The 24,257-nt window shown below is 40.3% G+C and overlaps 2 long non-coding RNA genes across 3 annotated transcripts in view, besides 2 other annotated features; one reads left to right on the top strand and one right to left on the bottom strand.

Annotated features, from left to right (window-relative positions):
- Window positions 1-797: 797 nt before the first annotated feature.
- SOX9-AS1 (SOX9 antisense RNA 1) overlaps window positions 798-24,257 on the bottom strand; it is a 49,752-nt gene continuing 26,292 nt past the window's right edge. The window contains exons 3-7 of one of the 2 annotated variants that reach the window (NR_103738.1): window positions 14,746-14,801; window positions 13,662-13,784; window positions 11,677-11,797; window positions 4,305-6,489; window positions 798-987 (exon numbers count right to left, since the gene is read on the bottom strand). This is a non-coding gene — a long non-coding RNA (SOX9 antisense RNA 1). Of the gene's footprint in view, window positions 988-4,304; window positions 6,490-9,693; window positions 11,158-11,676; window positions 11,798-13,661; window positions 13,785-14,745; window positions 14,802-24,257 lie in introns of those variants that run through there. The other variant, NR_103737.1, reaches the window with a different exon arrangement.
- Window positions 2,089-23,237, top strand: LINC02097 (long intergenic non-protein coding RNA 2097). The gene is made up of 6 exons (NR_110827.1): window positions 2,089-2,598; window positions 6,969-7,065; window positions 11,706-11,890; window positions 13,588-13,717; window positions 18,843-19,431; window positions 22,686-23,237. It is a non-coding gene; the product is annotated as a long intergenic non-protein coding RNA 2097 (long non-coding RNA).
- Window positions 22,402-22,915: an enhancer, noted in NCBI's record as "E1". NCBI's record gives its function as "enhancer in node, notochord, gut, bronchial epithelium, and pancreas" and the evidence as "EXISTENCE:transgenic organism evidence [ECO:0001131][PMID:16458883]".
- Window positions 22,607-22,719: a conserved region, noted in NCBI's record as "conserved region; E1". NCBI's record gives the evidence for it as "COORDINATES:sequence similarity evidence [ECO:0000044][PMID:11707075]".

Genomic DNA, 24,257 nt, shown 5'->3' on the forward strand with positions numbered 1-24,257 from the left:
ATACCAGTACAGTCTACAGACTCAGGAGGCAAAATGCTTTACTTTGAATCCTGGATCCTCTTATTCTTAGTTGTATAATCTTGAGCAGCTGTGCCTCGGTTTTCTCCTCTGTGAAATGGGTAAGTTAATGAACGTGCTTACCTACCTTGCAGTGTTATTATGATGACTAAATGAGTTAATTCACGTCAAGCACTTAAAACTGTACCTGCACAGAGAAAGCATTCAATGCATGTAAGGTATCATTCTTATTACCATTATGATTACCACATGAAAGAAAGTATGAGTGACTGTCATTCCTTGCCTTCTAGACTATAAGTCACTTTTTAGTAGGAAACTTGTTTTAGACATCTTTTAAAATATATATTTAGATATTAAGACTCTGAACTTATTAAAGGCAAATTCTGGAATTTACTAAACTTAAGGTCCCATGGGCCCAGCAGCATGCCTGTGGGGCTCACACCTAACTGGATCTTGGTGTTAAAGGTATAATGTTTTATGCTTCTGCTTTTAGATGGAGATATACTCTCTCTCTCTCTTTCTCTCTCTCTATATATGTATATATACGTATACATATCCATATATAGATATATATACACATTATATATTTTATATATATATATATATATAATACATATATATATAGAGAGAGAGAGAGATAGTATTAAACAACTACTGAATGAATAGAAGCTGGAAGTAATTTCCCACTTAGGAAGAAGACATTTTGACTATGAGACTAAGCCCCTAAGTGAACTGTGATTCCCACACAGAGTTACTGTAGAAAGGATTTCCACATCAAGTAGAAGGCTGAACCAGACGACCTTTAATAACTTTTATCAGTTGAGACTGTGAGATTCAATGACTCCATGACACTTGCAGATTCAGCTTCAGATTTCAGCCACTTTACGGGAAAAAGAGACACATCGAAAACTTGATCCTGGGACTTGCAACCCCACCGTGGCACTTCTCCAAGAAATGGATGGTTTTCACCTGTGGGAAATAAAGTAAGTATGAAGGTTTTTAACAATGGGAAAAAAGAGAAGGATCATCTAGCAGTGATTATAACCTAGACGGCCTAAGACTTACCTCTAAAAGGACCCAAGGCAATGAACTTTCTCCTCGTGTACAAAAAAGGCCTTTATGCCCTATATTCTCATCATTGAAAGAGGTAGACAACAGGAGGGGGGCAAAATATGGCCTTCCAGATGTGTCAGGGTTGTGATAAGTCATGTTTAAACTTTACCCAAAGTGAAATAAAGTGTCAACAGAAACTCCTGTCCAAACTCTCTGATCAGGTCAGGCAAACAACCAATCGAAAAAAAATCAATCAAATGTGAAAGGTGGCCCAAAGGGGTGGGAATGCTTAACTCCGGGATTCCCATAGAAGCCAGGTCTATTTAGCAACATGTTTCTTGCGAGCTGCTGCTTCTTCTTGTGGTCCTGAAACAGCCAGAAAGCACACCAGAGGGTGTCCTTTCATGAGCTGGCTTGACCCTGAGCAGGCTGAGAAGTTGGTGGCATTTGCCAATGCCATGAAGAAGGAAGGATTCTGGGACGGATGAGCTCAAAACTGATTGTCTGATCAGCCCCAGGGTCAGTGCTTTGAGAAGAGAGATGGTCTACACACCTAAGAGGAATGGGAAATTTAGCCTTGATCTGGAATTCTATAAGTGCTCAAAGAAATTAGTTAGTTCTTGAAGGTGAAAGAGGAGAGCAAAAACTTCTAAGTACACCTGGCAGAGTGGTAGCAATATGCTTCCACATGGCCTGTCCAGTTGGAAACAGACTGCATTTCCCCAGGGGTAAGGAGTCGGCAGGAACCAGACAGAAGCTTGAAGCCCAGCCAAACAGACTAGTGTGTAGGACAGGATTACAATTGCAAGAAGGAGGTAAAGTATATATAAATCAGAAATGGGAGAAAGGATCCAATCTTATGAATGGAATAAATATGGCACAATTCAATGGGTTTTGTGGACAAGAAGGTGTTTGGATCTTACCTTCCACAACAAATCAAATTCTAGATGCCTAGTGCAGATGGAACTCTTAAAGCATCACCATTCTATCTGGGTACGCCCAGGAACCAAATGGGCTGATGGTTTCAGCTAGATAAGACTGGAAGACAGCAAGGACTTGGAAATGTACTCACAGACCCTCCTACCCGTGATAACTGACTTCAGAGCACACCTTCATTCCCACCTTTCTATATTTTAACATGGGATTGAGACTGGGACAGAGGTTAACAAGGCATCTCAAGCCAATCAAGAACTAGATGCACATAACTGCATTTGATGGGGAAGTAAAAATTACTACAAATTTAAAAAAAAGTGTATATACGTTCACCAAGTAGCTATAATTCTAGGGTCTTATTTTTAAGGAAAAAAAAATGCATTAAAGGTAGAAAAGGAGAAACATAGGTGGAGGGAGAGGAAGAAAGCTGGAGAGGAAGGCATTTTGAACATCTATCACTATTATATTAGGAACTTCACATGAACCATCTCATTTACCTCTCACAAAATCTATGAGATTGAGACAATGCTGCTTATTATGGCATCGTTAATCATAGTGAAAAATTGAAAACAGCCTTCTTGTATACTGCTAAGAGTGAGTAAGCATTATGCTGCACCCTCATAATGTTTTACCACAGAGCCTTTAAAACTGTTTATAAAGAATTCTGTCCTGATAGGCAATGTTCATAGTAAAATGGTAGTAGAAGTATATAAAATTGGTTATGCAATAGAGTTACCAAAATAATTATATATTTTACTTGTTTATATGTGTGTATGTATGCAGTATAGCTGTATCTTAATGTATCCACATGTTTATTAAAAAATTACGGTTATAAATGGGTGGTGGGATCATGAATTATATTTATTTTCTTCCTTACTCTTTTCTATGCTTTCCAAAATTTTACAATGAGCATAACTACTTTTATAATAAGACAATGAAAATCTTTAATATAAACAGCTTATTTACCATATGCTGTTAATGCTAATATCTGAACATACAGTACTTTGCGAAAACACCATCATCAAAGGAATTGACAGGGCTATATTTGTCAAACAAAGACAAACTACAGTCAATAGGAAAACACCTAAAATATGTCAATAAATGCTCTGCTGCTATCGGCCTTGCAATATACTTTATCTAGTCTCATAAAAAAAAATCATGAGGCATATGACCCAAACAAATATATATTCAATGTGTTTCTAGTTTGAAAATAATATGCCCTGATAGTGTTCTCCATTGCTATTGAGACTACTTTGCATCTAGAAACATTTGCTTAGAAAATGATTAAAATCATATATGTGTTATTGTTATTCCCACTTTTTAAAATCTAAATAGTAAGTTTTAGTTTGTAGCATGTTTTATTAATCAATACCAATCCTAAGATAATAAGCCTAAGATAAAGAGTGTCATAAACATTTTAATAAGAACATATGGTGGGGGAAATTGACAGAGCGAGGCCTTTGAAGGGCGGTTTTCTTTCTCTAAAGCAAGGTCATAAAAGGCCTTGGGAGATGAAAATAGATTGGGTAGGACCCAGTGGTCCATCACTGAGCATGGCAGGCAGGGGGTGGCTTCCTTCCTTCTGCTTAACCCTACGGCCCACCTGTGCCCTCATCAACGGCCTGGGACTCTAAGTCAGAGAGGGCTGAAAAGTGCTAATGAGACAAACTGGAAGGCAAATCGTATTTAATGCCAAGAGACGTAACTGATTTGGAGTTTAACAGCTATAAACCATGACTATTCCAAGATGGTCCAGATGGGAGACTTTTCATTATATTCAAGAGTTTAGATTTAGGCAAGTAGGGCTATGTTATCTAGAGGACTCTATCTTGTTAAATACTCAAGGGTGTTTCCAAGGAAGAGTATACAATATCTTGCTTGGAATATTACCATGGATAAGGTAGATATTAAGAGTAAATGATTGCTTACACACAACCATTTGAAAAGCAGTAAAAGAGACCTGCAACCAAAAGTGTTTTCTTCCTTAAAGTATTATGATACCTACGGTTTCACCATTGGAAAATTGAGCTACGCATTATTTTTTTTCAAGAACCTCACTTAAAAAGGCTAATAGAGTTGCTAGTGGTAACACAATGCAATGACTTGCTGGCATTTGGCCACACAACAACAAACTAGCATGTGTTCCTCCATAGATGCAGAGATCTGAAATAGCCAGAACACTGCTCAGAGAAAAGGGGAGAGTCTCCAGAAGAAAAAAGACACCAAAAAATCTGCAAATGATGGAAGGAGAAGTAGTCCATGGGAAGCAACGTTGAAAACTGCATAATCCCCAGTCTCACCTTGGGTGGCTCCTGCGTTTGGTTCTCCAAGGCAGCAGGAGGGATGAAATAGTCATGAACATTCCCTTCAGATCCAGAGTTTCTGCATCCAGTTATTACATCCATTGCAAGTCTCTTAGTGACCTCCTTTCCATTTCTCACACTGTGAATGGACACAGGACCCACCAGAAGGGGAGGCAGACATCTTTTGAAGCCAATCTTGATAAAGGAGGTGCTTCCTTTTCACCCCATAGTCAGCCAATTTGTTGCCTATAAGCTAAAAACCAAACCTAAATACTGAATTTGAAACTTAGCACAATGACCACCACCATCCGAGCTCTCTGGAACCTACAGGTGGTAAACAGGGTTTCTCAACCACAGCACTACTGACTTTTGGAACCAGTTAATCTCTTGTGGGACAAAGGGCTGACAGCTTTCCTGCACAGTGTAGGGATTTTAGTGGCATCCCTGGCCTCTACTCACTGGTTTTCCCCCAGATGATAACCACTGCACTAAATGAACAGAAATCTTTATTCTCAAGAAATGCAGGCTACATAAGTGCAGTCCCATCTCATTCAATGCTTTGTGCCAAAGTTCCCCACTGGACTTGCAGCATGATTATAAACTCAGGGGTAACAGCAATGGATGCCTCTTCCAGGTCTATGCAAAAGCTTGAACAATAAAAAGACAATTCCCATGACTAGGAGAGACCTTCCCAAGAAGACCATTGGCCGATAAGTCCAAAAGCTGTTGGGTTCTCCGCATGTGTGGTCCTAATTAGGAGATCTGGGTAGCATTTGTAAACAAGGCATTTACATCTTTGTCCAACTGCCTATAGTATGGGAAGTTATCTCCATAAGGGACATCTCAGTTGACTCATAGCAGAATTACCATAAACATCTCTATGATTCCCCATGTTATATTGTCACTCTGATCCCTGGCTGGGTTTGAGAACATATAAAAGATAGTACAGAGACTCTCTATCTCATCCTGGTACCATCTTGCAGTGGCTCATCTGGAGTTAGAACCTACCCATCTCTCGTCTTCAGAGTCGACGAGGTACCTTGGAATCAAAGACCATAAAAGTCAACGCTGGAAAGAACATAAAAAAAAACCACCCAACCAGCCCCTCATTTCACAGCGAAATTGGAAAGGGTTATCAGCTAAAAATGGACTGATCTAGTTTATAGCACTAAGGAAAAAATAGCCTCAAAGCAAACAGAAACCTCAAACCAATGACAGTCAATCCTGCTTGGGTGGCTCTAGCTCTTTGCGGGAAAGCAGTAAAGCCCTCAAACATTTTTTTTCTTTTAATATTTTTAACTTGAAAAACTAAACATGCTCTATAGATCATTTCTGAAACTCCAAATGTTTAGAAAGGCAAGCTTTTTTTTTTTTTTTTCACCCTGAAGCACTAGACAGACTGGTAGAAAAGGGGGAGGCAAAGGTGGATTATTTTTTAAGCCATTCATTTATCCACACTTCCTCTGATCCTTTCCCCTCCCCACACCATCCCCTGCTGTCATTTATCAAGACTGCTCCAATCCTGTGGAATTCCACTCATTCTTCATCAGGGCTTTGACCTCCTCCAATCAAACAAGCAAGGTACATTCTGGGAGAGTGCTAATGCCAGGGTATCGGGGGTGCAGAGGAGGAAACAATCGATGCTCCAGGACTTTCCCACGCTTAGTGGAATCAATTTTATCGGTGTTTGGACACTGGATGTCAAGGCTGGTCAAATGGAAGCCAAAGGTTCTGTGGGGGAGGGACTGACAGAGGCTGCTGCTGAGGCTTCACTCATGGGACAGCTTCCTGGAAGGGGCTGGTTACCTCAAGTCCAGATCATTCAGAGGGACATGAGGATCACACTCCGCCAATGCAGATGTTGAGGGACCTTCCCTCTAAGATGTGAAAAAGACCCCAAGCAAAGTTCCCAATGTGCCCTCTCTGCACCTTAGAAAACCACAAGGAAATATGGATTGGTTCCAGAAAAAGGCAGATGCCACAGGCACTGGGCCCTGCCTTCATGATTGCATCAAAACTGTTCACGCAGCTGCCTTCTCTCAATTATCCAAGAGCTGTTAGTCTTCATGAGTCTTGTCCAAATCTTTTGCCTTTTCTCTTCCTTTGGCTGTTCCCTGGGATCGTGATGATTACTGCTCTCATCCAAGGTGAACAGAAGGTGAAATTCAAACCGGTCAGGCTGCTGATAGAATGTTTGGAAAGAGAAGGCAGGTGAAGCTGCTGCCTCAGTGGAGACCCTGACCTTCTACCTGCTGTCCCTCCCACTTTCTCAAAGGCACCAATCTATGCTACACCTCTGGGCTGTGTTCACGTTGCTTCATCATTCCATGGCCCTTTGTCCCCCGACCCTTGCCATCTACTGAACATCCCTCCTGATAGCAGGACTCAGTTCATGCTCCTGGGTGAAGCTGTCCCTAATGTGCCCTAGTAAGTTGCCTCTCCCTCAACTCTGTTCCCATTCTGCCAGAAATAAAGTGACTATAATTTTCTGTTAATGTTTGAGCTCCTCTGAAGGCAGATTCATCTTTACCTGATTCATCTTCACATTCCCTGGTCCCAGCACAATGGGTAGTATATACTAGATGTTCTATAATTATTCGATGAGCACATTAATCTGTAGATTTTTATAATCAAGATTCTTTCCACTCCTTATAATTCCAGAAACTGGGGCCTTAAGTGGGTGCAAATGTTTGTCTAAACCAATACATTGACTGCTCTACAAGAAAATGCTGGTGTGGTCCTTCAGATATTCTGCCAGGTACCTCCCCACCTAATCCCTGACCGTAGCCTCAGCCCAACTGCTCTGAAGCTTCTAGTACCTGCATGGCTGGACAAGGGACACTGGGATCACCACCCACAACCCTGCATGCTGCAATCTTCTTCCCACACCAACCCCACTCTCTCTGCCCCAAGCAAGATGACTATGCAAACGAGAGAAGGCCTAGGATCTCAAGTCCCAGTGACTCACCTGCCAGCTCTAGGCATACATATATGACCTGTAGACTTCATATTAAATCATCCTCTTCCTGATACCAAACATCCTTATGGGTGACTGGTACATCCTCTGGTAATCCAAAAATGTCCTACATACCTGTGTGATGTAGTAAGCTACTGTCTCCCAGCTCCCAAACCTCCAATACCCTGCTCTGGGACGCTAAAAGAGTCTCTGTAAATCATGTTTTTCCTTTGCTAGTTGCTCCTAATAGATAGATTCTGGCAATAGGGGGCAGTAAAGGGAGATTGGAATCAGGAGAAGGCAGAATGCATTTCCCCACTTTTTTTTTACTTGCTGCTCCCGCCAGTGCTACCTAGCAGCAATACTTCATCCCTACAGCAGCAGTTGGATACAGCCCCCATCTCCTAGAGTCAGCCTCAAAGTGCTTTCTCAGAGGTACAAGCTCTAGGAAGTCAGTATTGCTCCTTCCTTAGATATTTGAATTCCAGCTCTATAAGATTCCTCCTTCAATCTCCTGGGATGCCATCAGCAGCCATATAGGGCCTCCCCCTCAGAGGCTGGGCTTCAACTCCTCAAGACCCTTCCTCTGATCCTTTAGGTTGCAATAGACCTAATCTTTTCCCTTATTCCCCAGCCCTGGTAGGGGTAGCTTCTTCCTGAAGTTACTATCTCTATGTTATCTCATTGTTCCCATTTCATTACTTCAGCCTTCCAAAAAGGCTGAAATATATATAACCAACTTCCTAAATTAAATCCCCTCTGTTGAAACACCTAATGTGCTTTCTGTATTCCTGCATGCACCTTAACTAACACAATATCCCAAAATTCTTTCTGGTTGTTACCTAAGGGAGAAATCTGAAAATCAACTCAACATAATGCTTAGGAAACAACAGGTGCTGGAGAGGATGTGCAGAAATAGGAACACTTTTACACTGTTGGTGGGACTGTAAACGAGTTCAACCATTGTGGAAGACAGTGTGGCGATTCCTCAAGGATCTAGAACTAGAAATACCATTTGACCCAGCCATCCCATTACCGGGTATATACCCATAGGATTATAAATCATGCTGCTATAAAGACATATGCACATGTATGTTTATTGCAGCACTATTCACAATAGCAAAGACTTCGAACCAACCCAGATGTCCATCAATCATAGACTGGATTAAGAAAATGTGGCACATACACACCATGGAATACTATGCAGCCATAAAAAGGATGAGTTCATGTCCTTTGTAGGGACATGGATGAAGCTGGAAACCATCATTCTCAGCAAACTATCACAAGGATAAAAAACCAAACACCACATGTTATCATTCATAGGTAGGAATTGAACAATGAGAACACTTGGACACAGGAAGGGGAACATCACACACTGGGGCTTGTCGTGGGGTGGGGGGAGGGGGGAGGGGTAGCATTAGGAGATATACCTAATGTAAATGACGAGTTAATGGGTGCAGCACACCAACATGGCACATTTATACATATGTAACAAATCTGCACGTTGTGCACATGTACCCTAGAACTTAAAGTATAATTAAAAAATAATAATAAAAAAACAAAAAACAAAATGGCAGCAGAGTTTAATTCACGTATTTCACTATGGTTTTGATACTAGTGAAATACTAGTATCAAGTATACATTGAACAAGTATCAAAGTATACTTGTCCAAAGTTATTTGGACAAGCCTACAACCTCCTTGAGTTTCTAGTCTTGAAACCACAGTGGGAGCAGATAATCTCAGCTTCTTGCTCTGTCTTAAAAATGCAGCAAAAAGACAGCCCACATAAAAGAGCTTTAAGGTCTATGTTAGAAAAGCACCATCAGCAATACATAACTACTTTGACTAACAACAGGCTGCAAAGACACTCCCTAGTTTTGATCTCAATAGGCTCTGCAAAACAGTTCTTTCACCTATGCCAACCACACAGGAAATATTTCAGAGCTGCTGCTTTGTGGAAGGTTCACACCTTGATGGGAAGAGCTTTAAATCTCCCATTTCCTGTATTGATAAGAGCATGATCACCTATTTTCAAAATAAGGTTCATTCTCAAATGTTGCAATGCCAGGTAGGCCATCCTCTCTGCTGGGAGAAGAAGTACTTGGAGGGTGTCAGTTTTGAGAAAAGGATGAGAAGCAGAGGGGAGGGAAACAGCGGAGTAAGGACAGGAAGAATATTTTTTGTTCATGTTTGGAGCTATGCCAAGGTGTTATATTCCCATTAAGAATGGCTAGATCTGGAAGAAACTTGATGGATTAGTGGAAAGTGGAGGTGGGGAGAGAAGGCGGCACCATCAATTGCTGAAATTGGCCCCAGACAGGTTTCCTCATTGTTCTGCCAATTGGTTTTGCAATAAATTGGAGGAAATTTGGCGAGATATTCAACCAGGGCATGGACAGTGTACTAGGACCAAAATAAACAATGGTGAATAACTTGGCAGTTTTTTATTGGATATTTCAGAAGTGAGTTATGAGACACCAAGTTGTGAGTTAGTTCTTACAAGTTTACATAGTGAGAATTAAAATAAGGCGATAGATGACAAGTTTTGCTCTTAAAATTTGGGAGACAAATACCAAATAGGAAATCTAGTTACAAAACATACAATGACCCAGAGAAGAAAAACAGAATAAGGTCAAATATTTGAGATGACATAGCACATAGTCAACATATTGAACTCAAAGGATTTACCCCAGAAACTCCACATACAGAAACTACAGAATATCTAGTAACTTCGGATATTTTTTTTTCTGGAAAAAGATATTCCTGATATGCAGCCATTGCTGTATTTTCTGGAATGAGTATCTATGAATTAACAGAGATTTTTAATAATTTGTTTACTGTGAACTCTTTTGGAAATGTGGTCAAGTCTATGGACTTCTTTTTAGAATTACATGTGTAAATGCATAACTTGAAACACAACGAATTATAAAATAAATTATATGGAAATGCAGTTGCAATCTGAAAGTATTTAGAAAATAAAATTGTGAAACATAACATATACACTTCCTTATTAATGCCGCCAATAACAAGACCTGAAGGTGGGTCTACCAACTACCATAATTTCGAAGCAGTGAAGAGTATAGATGATATCTTGAGATTTTTACAACACTGCAGTGTGATATAAAAATACCTATGATTTTTGTCGGTGATAAAGCCTTAGTAATGACCAACACTATTGTGTCTTGTCACATACACTTGTGATGGAAAGAAATACTACATTTCAAATAGAGGTTAGAAAAAATAAAGATGTAATTTTTTCCTATCCTAACTTAAGGATTCCAAGAATTCTATTCATAGATCTTGTTTGTAGGGATCTATGAACACTGAGCTAAGGATTCATGGACAACTCTTAGACCTAAATATTCACATGATTTTAAAATAATCTTTTTTTCTATTTTCCCAAAAGATTTACTCTATTCATTCCAAACAAATGGTTTCCTTCTAACATAAATCAGGTAAGACCAAACCCTTATTAAAGACTTGGAATGAACCCAAATGCCCACAATGGTAGACTGGATAAAGAAAAATGTGATACATATACACCATGGAATACTATGCAGCCATAAAAAGGAATGAGATGATGTCCTATACTGAGACGTGGATGACGCTGGAAGCCAGTATCCTCAGTAAACTGACACAGGAACAGAAAATCAAACACTGCATGTTCTCACTCATAAGTGGGAGTTGAACAATGAGAATACATGAACACAGGGAGTGGAACAACATACACCAGGGACCTGCTAGGGGGTGCGGGGGAGGGAGAGCATCAGGACTAATAGCTAATGCATGCAGGGCTTAATACCTAGGTGATGGGTTGATAGGTGCAGCAAACCACCATGCCACACATTTACCTATGTAACGAACCTGCACATTCAACACATGTATCATAAAGCCTAAAATAAAATAAAATGTAAAAATTAAATAAATAAAAAATAAAATAAAATGTTTAAAAAAAACACTTCTATGTTTTATGTTTTACGGTTTCAGATCTCAGGGGTAATATAAAGATATCTCACTGGTAAATATGGGAAGAATAAAATAAAATAAGGGGGAAAAAAGATTCTTCCAGGCACTCTTTGATCTACGTTGTGTCCTAGGTTTTTCACATCATATTTATATAGCTCAGAGCCACAACAGGAAGCAGATGGCACATTCAAAAAGGGATGATTTAAGAAAGGTTTATTTACAGAGGTGTGGTATAGGGAAATCACAAAAGACAATGCAGTAACCTGGGGCTTGCCATTTTTAGACTCAAAAGGACAAACAGAGGTAGCAATTACTTGATCCAATTAGTAAAAGGACAAGTTGAGTTGGCCAGCTTTAGAGAGTCAATGATCTTCACTTGGGGGAAACAGCCAACCCAAAATGACTTCTCATGTAGGAAGCCACTGGAGAAAATACCCTGATCTTACCTTCCTCCCCTTTTCCTGCCTCTTGCCAGGGTTCTCCACTGAGTGAACTCAACCAGAAGCCAAAGGACATGGAAACCCATTGATGTCCCTCCCAGGACAAGGTGGATGAACAGAAATTGATCTGAAAGGACAAATGGAAGAAATACAATGCAATGTTGATGAAATTTCATCCTCTGCCCCTCTTCCCTCCATCTCTCTCACCTCTTGTTCGTAGGTACTTTTCACCATGGACATCCTAAAGCTTCCCAAATATGCCACTTCTTTCAGTTGTCTACACATTAACACAGTCTACACTAGTATACCATTTGCCTCTTCCTCTAGTTGAGCTCCTAGTTCTGTCCTTACTTCGTGTTCACGATCAAGCTCAAATGTCACCTCCTCTTGGAAGCCTTCTTCAATATTCCACAGTGATTTTCATCCATGCTTGCCTCTGTGTTTCCCCAGCACATACATCACTGCCACATTCCCCAAAGCATTTGCCTAAGAACATGAGTCCTGAAAGGTGTTATTAGGTAGAACATGAAATATCAGGATACCTTCCAATATTTTGGAAGGTGATACCTTTCTACATTGCAGCAATTACCAAATTCCTGTAGTCTCTAAATGAAAAGCCCCCAGAATGAAGGGGCAGATTTGTCTGAAGAATTATTCAGATAGCAGTGCAAGGGAGAAGCAAAAATAGGAAGACACTGTGCCTTTGTTGGGTACAAGGTATATCAATTATATAGCACTGCATAAATACACAGAGAACAAGATTTTTCCTCTAAATCACAATCCTGGTCCTCATAGAATAGACCCTAAGGAATATGCTTATTTAAAATAAGAAAATATCAATTGAATGTAACTTCAACAAGAGCAGGAAGGTCAGGCCAATCAGTTTATAAGGAGTGAAACAGTCTAAGAGACCAGATGGCACAGAGACAGGAAGCCAGAGAGATGAAGACAAAAGTTCGTTGGTAATATCAGCAATTCTATAGGTATATTTTCGTTGTCTAAAACTTATTTTTTATAAACACAGCCATTTCACAGTGTCCACATATTATTTCTTCCTTCTGATAAAAATCTGTTTAAAAAACAGTCCTACTTTTGAAAAATGTTAGGCTATCTTACAGAACAAAATAAAAAGTCTCTTAAACTTAAATGCTTATTGCTAAGTGAAAGAAAACAATCTGAAATGCTATATGCTATATGAGTCCAACTATATGACATTCTGAAAAGAAAGCAAAACATTGGAGATAGTAAATAGGTGAGTGGTTGCCAGAAGGTGGGAGAAGGGAGGCATGGATAGGTGAAGCAAGGGGATTTTTAGGGCAGTGAAAGCACTCTGTATGGTATTATAATAGTGGATGCATGTCATTATACATTGGTCCAAACCCATAGAATATACAACACCCAGAGTGAACCCTAATGGAAACTATGGGCTCTGGGTGATAATGATGTGTCAGTGCAGGCCCATTGGTTGTAAGGAATGTACCACTCTATGGGGCGTGTTAATAGTGGAGGAGGCTGTGCATGTGTGTGGGGGCAGGGGGCTACAAGAGTTACAAAAAGTAAAATCACTCTCTTTACCTTTTGCTCAATTTTGCTGTGAACCTAAAACTGCTCTAAAAAATATAGTCCAATTGTTTTTCTTTAAAAAGAGAACACTTAAAAAGAAAAACAAAGTCTCCTCTTCCCACATTCTCCAATTTCCATAAGGAAAGGAGAACAGCACCCTCATGGGCCAAGCACAACTGCAGCCATGTCACTGAGAGGGAGATGGGATGTAATCCATAGAAAATTGGAGGGCGTTGACTCTGCCATGTCCTCCCCACTAGATCTGCGTCTACCAGAAAGTTTTTATGTCTTGTTCCTAGTCAATAGGGGGTTTGTTCACGTAGCTCCTAACCCTATGTTGTTCTCACTTTACAGAAATGTTCCACCCCAAAGCAGCAATGGTACCTGAACCACGTCAGTCCCTGGTGGACACTATTTTTCATACACACCTTGAGGAATGTCCTGGAGGAATCGCTTGGCAATCTTCAGACGAGAAATGCTCATGGTAAATTGTGGATTTCTTCTTTAGCTCCTTTGGGGGATGTTACGGATACCATGCCTCCATGGCCAGACTGTTAGGAAGTTTAAAATCAGAGGTGATTACCAGGGAGTGGGTACCTCGAGCAACCTGGAAGCAGGGCGCTGAGACCTGTCACACACAGTCAGGAACTCCATCAGCAGCTGATGTTGGCAAGGCCCTGAGACCTTTCCAAAATACCAAAAGCAAATTCATTTCTTCCAAATGAGCTTCCCTAAACTTGGTTATTAGAGCCTGACCAGTTCAGATGGCTGGGTTCACGGAAATGAAAACCATTTTTCTCATGACCAACTCTGAGTTTCCAGTCTAACAGCCACAGCAAAGTGGCTTGATCTCTGTTCTACTCAAGTTCACAAAAAGGCAACAGGTCCTCAGAGGGTTGAGCTTGTGTGCATTTTCATAAGAGGAAATAAAACAGAGGTAATATGCAGTAATGAAAATCCTTTGGGGGCACTGGGAACTCAGATCACTGAATTTCTATGTGCAGGTCCTGACTTATCTGCACCTTGACTTTTCTATCTGTAAAACACACCTAGCAAACTTGACTTCTAAGCATGTGATGTGATATGGCTAAAGAAGTCCCAGCAAAGCTGGGAACTGTTCATCCCTTGAGATTATTCACTCACGTTGCTCCCTGTGTCTCTTACTCTCCTTCTCTACACATCTATGCATTGCCAACTTAGCATACTTGCAAACAGCTATAAAAACTGAATCTGGATCTCTCGGATCCTTCCACAAATTTTTAGATATAGAAATACTGAACAAATGCCTGGAAACTAATATATCAACCTCAAGAATGGATTGAAGAGAGTGTGTGTGTGTGTGTGTGTGTGTGTGTGTGTGTGTGTGTGTACATGCATATGTGCATGTTTTCCAAATCACTTTATCTTTTGACAATGGCTACAAGAGTTACAAAAAGTATAATCAATTCTTTTTTGGTTAATTACATTATGCCTTACTAAGGACAAAAAACAAATATGAAGACTAAATCTTACCCATATTGTTTTTTTCTCAATTAATGTCACCAAGTGTATCAATGGATTGTTTTTGGCTGCAAGAAACAAAACACCCAGTTAAAAGGGGTTTACACAGTAAGGACACACCAATAAGTGAGGAAGTAGGTGGCTTCAGGAAGGGTTCATTCATCAGCTCAATAATTGGTCTCTCTCAGAGTCTCCTGGCTTTCCCTGATGGTTGCAATTTGTCTGTCGCAGCATTAGGCATTACTTCTTACATGGCAAGTCAAGGCAAAAAGGAAAGGCCAATTTTGATGAATTGTTTTATGCAATATTTCCCAAGAGCGCCCAGCAAATTCCTACTGTCTTTCTCATATGCCAAGTTTAGGATGCCCACCTCTAAGCCAATTGCTGACCAAGGGATGTTCAAGAGTGTTACGATTGGCCCAGATCAATCAAGTTCCCTCCCTTAGGATCCTCCTGGTCCACCTGCCTTGACACATTGCTGTTTAAACCTCGACCTAATCAAGGTTCTGCTAGGAAGGGAGTAGCAGGAATGGACACACTGGGTAGATAATCAATAGTTGCCTAGTTACAATACTTTCTTCATTGCTTAAATATGTCTATTTAAACACAAACTATATAAACATTCTTAACTGAATAACAGATTACATAGTTATCTGCAATTGGAACAGAAATCTACTGTCTATATGACAGAGGTCTGGAAGTCCTTTTTACAAATTAAATTCAAAGCAAATTTTCTAGTTTCCAACTTTTAAAAAACTTTATCTAAGCTATTAAAATCCTAACATTCTTATAAAGTTAATCTTTCCTCCAAGGGTCTCTCTTTTTTAGTGGTCATAAGACTGAACTGCCAATCAAAGATCTAAATATGTATCAATAAGTATTAACAACTAAAGCTGATCATCTTTCATCACTTCTGTTTTTATCAGACAAAATAAAACAAATAAATCAAACATTACTGAGACTGGAATGATTATAACTAAATTCAGCTCACAATGAAGTGAAGTGGTGTGTGTGCACATATGTATCTGTGTGTGTGTGTGTGTGTGTGTGTGTGTGTGTGTGGTATTAGTCATCAACTACCCATGCTGACCTGTTAGCAATATGGCTTGTTGATATGATTATTTGAATAAAGCTATACATTTCAAGTCCACTTAAGAAACCAATCAGCAATAGCTCTGAATTCAGTAATAGCTTAGATATTTTCACAAGGACCAGGCCAGATGTGTAGTCAGCCATGTTTAGCTTTACGCTGACATTGGAATCAATGTCCGAAAAGGGGAAAGCAAAGATATTCAGGGAAAACAACTCCAGAGTCAAAGGAGGTGTCATGCCAGCTGAAAACACACTTGTAAAGAGAATGAATGTCTGTTTTTCTGCTCTTTTATCCCCTGATAGAACAATCAGCATCATCCGCTCGCCAGCCCCCAATGTTTTCATCCCAGTGAGCTAGGGCTTCTTTCCTAAATAGGCAACTAGCATTGCAACCTTCCTCCTCCCATCCCCACCAAAGCTTACCTATCCTGTGTCCTGTTCCAAGATGACCCTGCTTGAAATGATGGAAATGAATCCTAAAGATGAAATTAAATGTCACTGTGCTCATGGGCAGTAATGGTTTGGGAACGAGACTTGCAATGGAGCAGTTGCTTACAGGTCATGCCCAAAAGGAGTAATTCCTCCTGCAGATCGCAGGTATCTCAGAGAGGGAGGTAGGTAGAGAGCTCTATTTGGGACAGGAGAGGTGTCTCCCAGATCAGACCAGGGTGGTGGACTTCAGTTCCATTTAGGTTTCTGGACAGCTCTGACGACAAGGACAGAGGTTTGGTCACGTGGAGGTCTTGAGCCCAAGTCTCTCCACTTTCAATGTGCACAAGTCACAGACACAGCCCTCAGAACCTCCACAGCAAAAGGCTGAGTCCAGCCCAGACTCCGCAAATTCCCTCCTCCCTCGCAGGCCAAACAAGAACTAATTTTAAACCACCACAACCCAGCTTGGGGAAAAGGCCCAGGAAAGCTCTGCAACGGAACAGACAAAACTGTGCACTCCACCCAAGTTGTTTACTTCTCCACGGAGCCTTTCAGGGACTAAACACTGGTCTGGGGTTTGGGATGTCATCCATTCTACCCTGAAATTCCCTTTTCAGGTTAGGATTAGGAAATCCATCCCCACATTGGTCCCCACCTAGCCAGAAGCTCCTGCCTTTGTCCTCTTTTTGGTTTTCATTAAGAATTCAAGTCTGGATTCCTATTACAGAAGAGCTGAAGAAAGAGTCCTGCTAAAATTTGTCTATACCATATACACACTTAAGCTAGAAGCTTCTGTATCAGTCAGGGTTCTCCGGAGAAAGAGAACCAAGAATAGATTATATATATATATATATATATATATATATATATATATATATATTTATATATATATATATTTATATATATATATTTATATATATATATTTATATATATATATTTATATATATATATTTATATATATATTTATATATATATATTTCATATCATTAAGAAAAAACAATAATTTATAATTTGCTGTATAACATAATATGGAATATAATCTATAACATAATATGTAATATAATATATAACATAATATGGAATATATACATTATATTCCATATTATGTTATATAGCAAATTATAAATTATTATTAGTATTTATACATAAATTTACATGTATTTATAATTTATAATTTGGCACATAACATAATATAGAATATATAATGTAATAGAAATTTTATTAGAAATAGCATGTAATTATTATATTATATAAAGGTAACATAATTGTGTGATATAGTTTATATATCAATTACAAAGGTAACATAATTGTGATATAGTTTATATATCACACAACATAATTGTGTGATATAGTTTATATATTGTATTATATAAAATAATACAATAACATAATATACAAGTATTTATTAGCTTATTTACTTTCAGGAATTAGCTCATGCAATTCTCAGGGCTAGAAAGTCTAAAATCCATAGGGCAGGCTGGCAGGCTGGAAATTCCTGTGTGAGCTGAGGCTGCAGTCTTAAGGCAGAATTTCTCCTCCAAGTTTTTGGTCCCAAGGCCTTCAACTGATTGGATGAGGCCCACCCACATTATCCAAGGTAATCCCCTTTACTTAAAGTCAACAGGTTGTCAATGTTAACATCCACAAAATACCTCCTTAGCAACACTTAGATTATTGTTTGATTAAATGACTGAATACTGCAGCCTGTCCAAATTGACACATAAACTTATCCATCACAGCTTCCAACGGCTTTGCTGGTATCTGAATCTCTATGAAATCCTGTATGATAGAAGCTCTGGGGTTGTTCAAACCTCTTAGCTATGTAAAGCCACAGACTTGGTGGACCTAGGATACACGGTGTAACTCCACCCCAGGTCAGGCAGTGCCACCCCAGAAACAGAGGTCTCAGTACCCAAATAAAGTAACAATAAAACTCTCAGGTTGAATGCTTATTATGTGTTAAACAATTTGCTAAACATGGTAGCAGCAGCATTTGACGGGAGCTATTTCACTGAAATCAATCCCTCACATTCTTCCTTTAGAGATGAGGAAAATCTGAGGCTCAGAAAGGTTCTGTCACTTGTCCAACGTCACACAGTGTTTTCAGTGGGGGATTAAGATTTGAACCCGACTGTCCTAACTGCTCAGGCCTGCACCGTGTCCTGGAGAAAAATGTTATCTCCAAGTCTAAAAGTGGATAGATAATGAATTTCTTCTTTCTTCCCTTCCACCTTCCTTCCCTGTCTTCTTTCCCTCCTTTCTTCCCACCTACCTCCCTGCAACTGCTATAAACGTCTACGCTGGGCACAGCCCTGAGTTCGCAAGTTAGCAGCTGGAGAGAAGGGGTGGCAATAGGGAGGGAAGGACACAGTTGAGATACCGAGCGTTTTCAACTAGCAACTAATCAGGGTAAAGCAGGAAGAGAAGTTTTGAGTTGCAAAACATGTTTTTGCCAAAACTAAAAATTTGGCTCTGAAATGTTAAAATGTTACCTCCGGCCAGAGATGCCCTAAAAACATCTACCTTTACTCACACTCGCACTTACCCTGATGACATTTTGATGCAAACTTTCTCTGACTCCCAGACTAGAAGAGACCAAAGGATGCTACCAAAATCAGTCCCTGTCTTCAAGCAAAAGTGCTCACTGCATTTCAGATCTTCTCGGAGGAAGAGTCCAGCCTCACCTAAGACACTCACCTGCACAATGAATGACACGTGACATTGTCATGGCAGCTTTTGTCCTGACCTAGCCTTAGGTAGCACTGACAAATCCACTGCGTGCTCACTATTGGGTCATTTGACATTTGGAATCGGTGACCTGACAACACTGCCGTACGGAAAGGCTAACGGAAACAGAGGCTGCAGCCACAGCCCAGGAACGGTGGTCTTTCGCACACATGGGGCAGCCTCTGCCACAACTTTTTCTTCCAAGGAAATCAACACAAATGAAAACTGGCTGATGCTCTGGTCCACCAGAGGCTGAAGAAGAAAACCGCAAAATGGAGACTGCCCAATTCTAATTTAATTCAGAAGAACAAACAGGGCATCACTCAGCGGACTTCAAATCCCCAGTCAGAAGATTTTGCCCGTGGAGCAAATCGTTTCATGGGCCATCTACCCCACCTACTCCCTCCTGCCACAGCAAGGAGGTGAAAATAGCTCATGAAGCCATGGTGAGTGACATTCTCGTGACATTGTTGTCAATGTTGATCTTGTACTTTTTTAAAATGTCAAGTCAAACACACAATAGGAAAAATTTATTTATAAAGTAGCTACAGTACTGCTATGTGAGGCTCGCATTCTCTCTCTCTGCTCATGTCACTCAAGACCCTGGTCAAATGCCACTTTCTCAGAGAAGTCTTTCCTGGCCACCCAACACTCACTTTCCCTCGAGATCTGCTTTATTTTCTTTGTGACATCAAACTGTATGTTTGTTTGTTTCCTTATGATCTGTCCCCACTATTGGAATGTAACCTCTATGCAGATAGGGGCATTAATTTAATCACAGCTGTGTTCTAAGCATTTAGAACGATATCTAGCACACAGGAGGGGCCCGATAAATATTTGTTGAATGAATGTATCAATGGACTGGTCCAAGAATCAGTCATTTAAAAGACCCTGATGAAAACGAGCTGCCCTGGGGTTTGATATTTGAAGTTTCTCTTATTGGAGAGCTAGTCTGAAAATTCTTGACCACAGTTTCAAACCCCATGTGTTATGATTACACTGGTGTCAGGGAAGCTCTGACTTGGCTGGTCAGTAAACTAGCTGTGGAATTTTTCTACTTGTCACATGGACAAAAATGTCCTTGAGGAGGTATACAGTGGAAAGTTTGAGATCAAGTGCTGAAAATCAGATGGCCCAGGTCCCAGTCCTGGATCTGGCACTTCCTAGATGAGTCTTGAAATACTGATTTAACATTCCAGTGTTTTAGTTTCCTTGTCTGAGAAACATGGATGATACCCATTGTATCTACTTCAGAGGGTTTCATGTAAGGAAAAATAAGCAGATACATGTAAGTCACATTTGCTGGCACATAAGGGAGTGCTCAATAAGTGCTAGTTATTGTTAATATTATAATTTTAAAAAACTAATAGAAACATATTATTTAATCTAGGGCTAGTGCTTGGGCAAGGCAAGTGAAGCACCTAGAAGGCAAAATGTTAAAGGGTGGCTCACTCTCAGGTGCTGACCGTGCACCTGTATGACTCTGAGAATCCTTACATTTTGAGTGCTAGGTACACCACACACCTCACCCCAGCCCCAGCTCTGCAAGGAAAAGACGAGCAAGAAATAAAACAATGTAGTGCAAAAAATGTTCAATGCAGTTGGTCTCGTGGTTTAACGATGTTTACAGAAAACACCTGACTCCAGTGAAATGTAATTCACGAGAAGAGCCAGAGTTCATACAACCACAGGACCACAGTCACATTTTAGTGAATGTATTCCTAGAGGTCTCTGGATAAAATCCTTGCTGATAATGAGAACAGTGGTTCTCAGGGCCAATCTTCAGACTTGCTTGAGGCTCCTAGGGCTTCCACCCAATGTATCTGTAGGCAGGTCCACACACACATTATGCAAAGAGAGATCTTTGAGATGAACCTATAAAGACAAAACTTTATCATTAGAAAAAAAAAGTGCATTCGTAAATGTCATAACAATAAAATTATACTCCAAGACTTTGTACAAGATGAAAGTAATATGAAGAAGGGGCTACAGGAAAAACCTCAAAATCATCAGATGCCCAACTTGTCCAAACACAGTATAAGGAAAATGACTAACATGGTTTATTCCTATATATCATTGTATTAGTCTCTTTTCATGCTGCTGATAAAGACATACCTGAGACTGGGCAATTTACAAAAGAAAGAGCTTTAATTGGACTTACAGTTCCACATGGCTGGGGAAGCCTCACAATCACAACAGAAGGCAAGGAGGAGCAAGTCACGTCTTACACAGATGACAGCAGGCAAAGACAGAGAGCTTGTGCAGGAAAACTCCCCTTATAATAACCATCAGATCTTGTGAGACTTAGTCACTATCATGAGAACAGCATGGGAAAGACCTGCCCCCATGATTCAATTACCTCCCACTGGGTCCCTCCCACAACACATGGGAATTCAAGATGAGATTTGGGTGGGGACACAGCCAAACCATATCAAACATGATGTAGTTCCTCCCATGTCGTGTGGATAAACCAACCCTGCTCTCTCTAACCACACATCTGACTACCTTAGGGAATGGCTGAGAAGTCACAGAACCAGATACAAAGAAGGCTAACTATTTCTGGGATATGCTATCCTAAATTCTGCCCACTAAGGTTGTCCATGTAGAATGGTGGCAGATAAGCCCAATTTCCTCTCTTTCAGGAAATATGAATATTAAGCAAACCAAGACAAGATTGGTCTCTAAAGCCCAGTTCTCTATGAAGGTTGCTATGCCTCACAGTCCTGGCTACTAGGATCCGGAGAGATAGCATCCCTTTCTCCCCCTCAACATGCACCAATCTTGCAATAAATCCCCATTACAGAAAATAAACTGAGTTGAGGTCCTCTTTGCAGAGCCTGACATAAGGTTTCATACTTATCCATAATCTCCAAATGTACTAATAAATTTTGGTAATAATACAACTATCAAACTAAAAAGAGAAAATGAAAAAAAAAAAAGTCGGGGACCAGACATAGTGGCTCACTCCTGTAATCCCAGCACTTTGGGAGGCTGAGGCGGGAGGACTGCTTGAGCCCAGGACCAGTCTGAGCAGCCTGCTAAGACCCTGTCTCTACAAAAAAATACAGAAATTAGCCAGGTATGGTGGTGAGTGCCTGTGGTTGCAGCTACTTGGGAGGCTGAGGTGGGAGGATCACTTGAGCCTGAGAGGTTGAGGCAGCAGTGAGTTATGATTGCACCACTGCACTCCACAGAGTGAAACCCTGTTTAAAAAAAAAAAAAAAGGAAATGCCAAGAACAAACGTGTCTGTCTGTCATCATGTTCTTCCGGCATAGATGACTGATTTTTACAGAGTTAATGAAAATATCCACAGTGATATTCATGGTGCCTCCACATTTTAAATTATTTCTCCACTGTGCTTGTAAGAAAAGAGAAGCTCAGATCTATAGTTTGTTACTATAATCAATATTTTAGTGACCAACTTTCAAATATGCCATTTTGGCTGCTGAACCATTTAACTAAGTCAAAGGCTACACAACACATTCGGCCATCTTTATTTCTTCTCTTTCTCTCTTTGGCCAAAAGGTGGTAGTAGGTAATCAACTGATAGACTGCCTTTCAATAATGGAGGTCAAAATGTTCAAATCCAGGTTCCAGATGTCCTGGTTAAACAGCTGGGAGTGGAATTTGACTCCCATGGAAAGAGTTTAAGCCATGATTTGGTCATTGACCTCCAATGTTTGCTCTGACTTCTTACAGGGGAGTTCAAAGTGGAACTGTGAAGTTTCCCAAGCTCCATGCAGGTCACTGAAGTCCACCCTGCAAACAACAGTCCTTCACCTTCTGAAGACCTGTCACCTATGAAGCAGCAAGGAAGGAATTTCTTGGCTCTGCTTCCTGGCAGTCATTACCTGTGATCTTCTATCCCAATTGGTTGACCCTAGCAACTGAGCCCCATGAAATATGTATTTAGTGGACTGAATGAATTGGACAATTGAATCAGAAAAAGCAACAAGAACTCCCAAGGTTAAAACAAGTCCAGGACTACACTCCTCTCTTCCTGCCTCTCCACATTGATCTGCAGCTTCTAGAGAAGACTGAGCAAAGAGATGCTGGTGTCTTTGACTTCAGGGAAGAGCAATGTCAAGGAGAGAGGCCAGCAGATTTTTTTAAATCTCTATTCACCTGTCACTGTCCAGCCTGCCATTGTGGTGGGTGAAGACAACATTTAGGGATTCTAGTGCTAGTAGGATACAAACAACATTTCTATTTTGTTATTAAGTAAATAAATACCACTCTTTATCAACCTGCTCCTTCCTGGCGTGCAGAATGACTTATAGCTAAGGTAAATGGTCGCTCAGGAACTCATAGCACGTACCCACTTCCAGGTAGCTTCAGCTGAGCATTCAGCACAACACAGCATAAGGGCTAACAGTGAGCAGAAAGCCCCAAAACTCAGCACCTGTCTTTTTAGTATCTCATAGAGAAAAATAAATGCAGAAAGCATATTGAAAGTGGGGAAAGCATGCAGTCTTCTGAGGTTAGGGCCAGGCTGCAGCAACAGCTATGGTTGGCTGGACTCCCTGACACCAAAGAAGAAAATGCTGTATGCTTTCAAGGAGCCTTCTGGAGTACTGAGCTAGGACATAAAAACATTCAACTGCTCTTGCCATTTGAATGGGGAAATATATGGTTCTAGGCCTGCAGCAAGAAAAGTGGTGCATTCCACCCAGCATTCTCATTCTAAAATGCAAATTGGATCACGTCTGTCTTCAGCTTCATGGTATTCATTGGTTTTAGATGAATTGCAAAGTCTTTAACATCGCAGAGAAGGCTTTTTCTGGTCTGACCGCAGCCTATTTCCCCAGGTTTATCTCTCACTCCATCCCATACCTGCACTGGCCTTCTGTTTTCTAATTATCTTACTGACCTGCCATTCCCAGAACCCACCATGTTTTCTCTTATACCTGGATTTTGCACATGCTGTTCCCTCTACCTGGAACATATTTTCCCCACCCATCCATTCTCTGGCTAACTGTTACTGGACTGAAAAGCATATCACAGAAAACAAACAGTACCAGCTGTCAGCGGACAGTTTTTGCATTGTATTAATATTTTCTTTCTCTGAAGCTCCAGAGACCAAAAATGTACAAAACAACAAATCAAGCAACCTCACATGGTAAATAATTTTTCACCAATAAATGTTAAATATAGTTCATATATGCTTATATTATACAAGTCTTCTAGGAAGACAGACATTAACGATGCAAATTTTAAAGTTCATTTCTTTAAAAAAATCCATGTATAATATTAGCAGATTATTCTTTTTGG

Source organism: Homo sapiens, chromosome 17, assembly GCF_000001405.40.
Source record: "Homo sapiens chromosome 17, GRCh38.p14 Primary Assembly".
In the NCBI taxonomy this organism is placed as follows: Eukaryota; Metazoa; Chordata; class Mammalia; order Primates; family Hominidae; genus Homo; species Homo sapiens.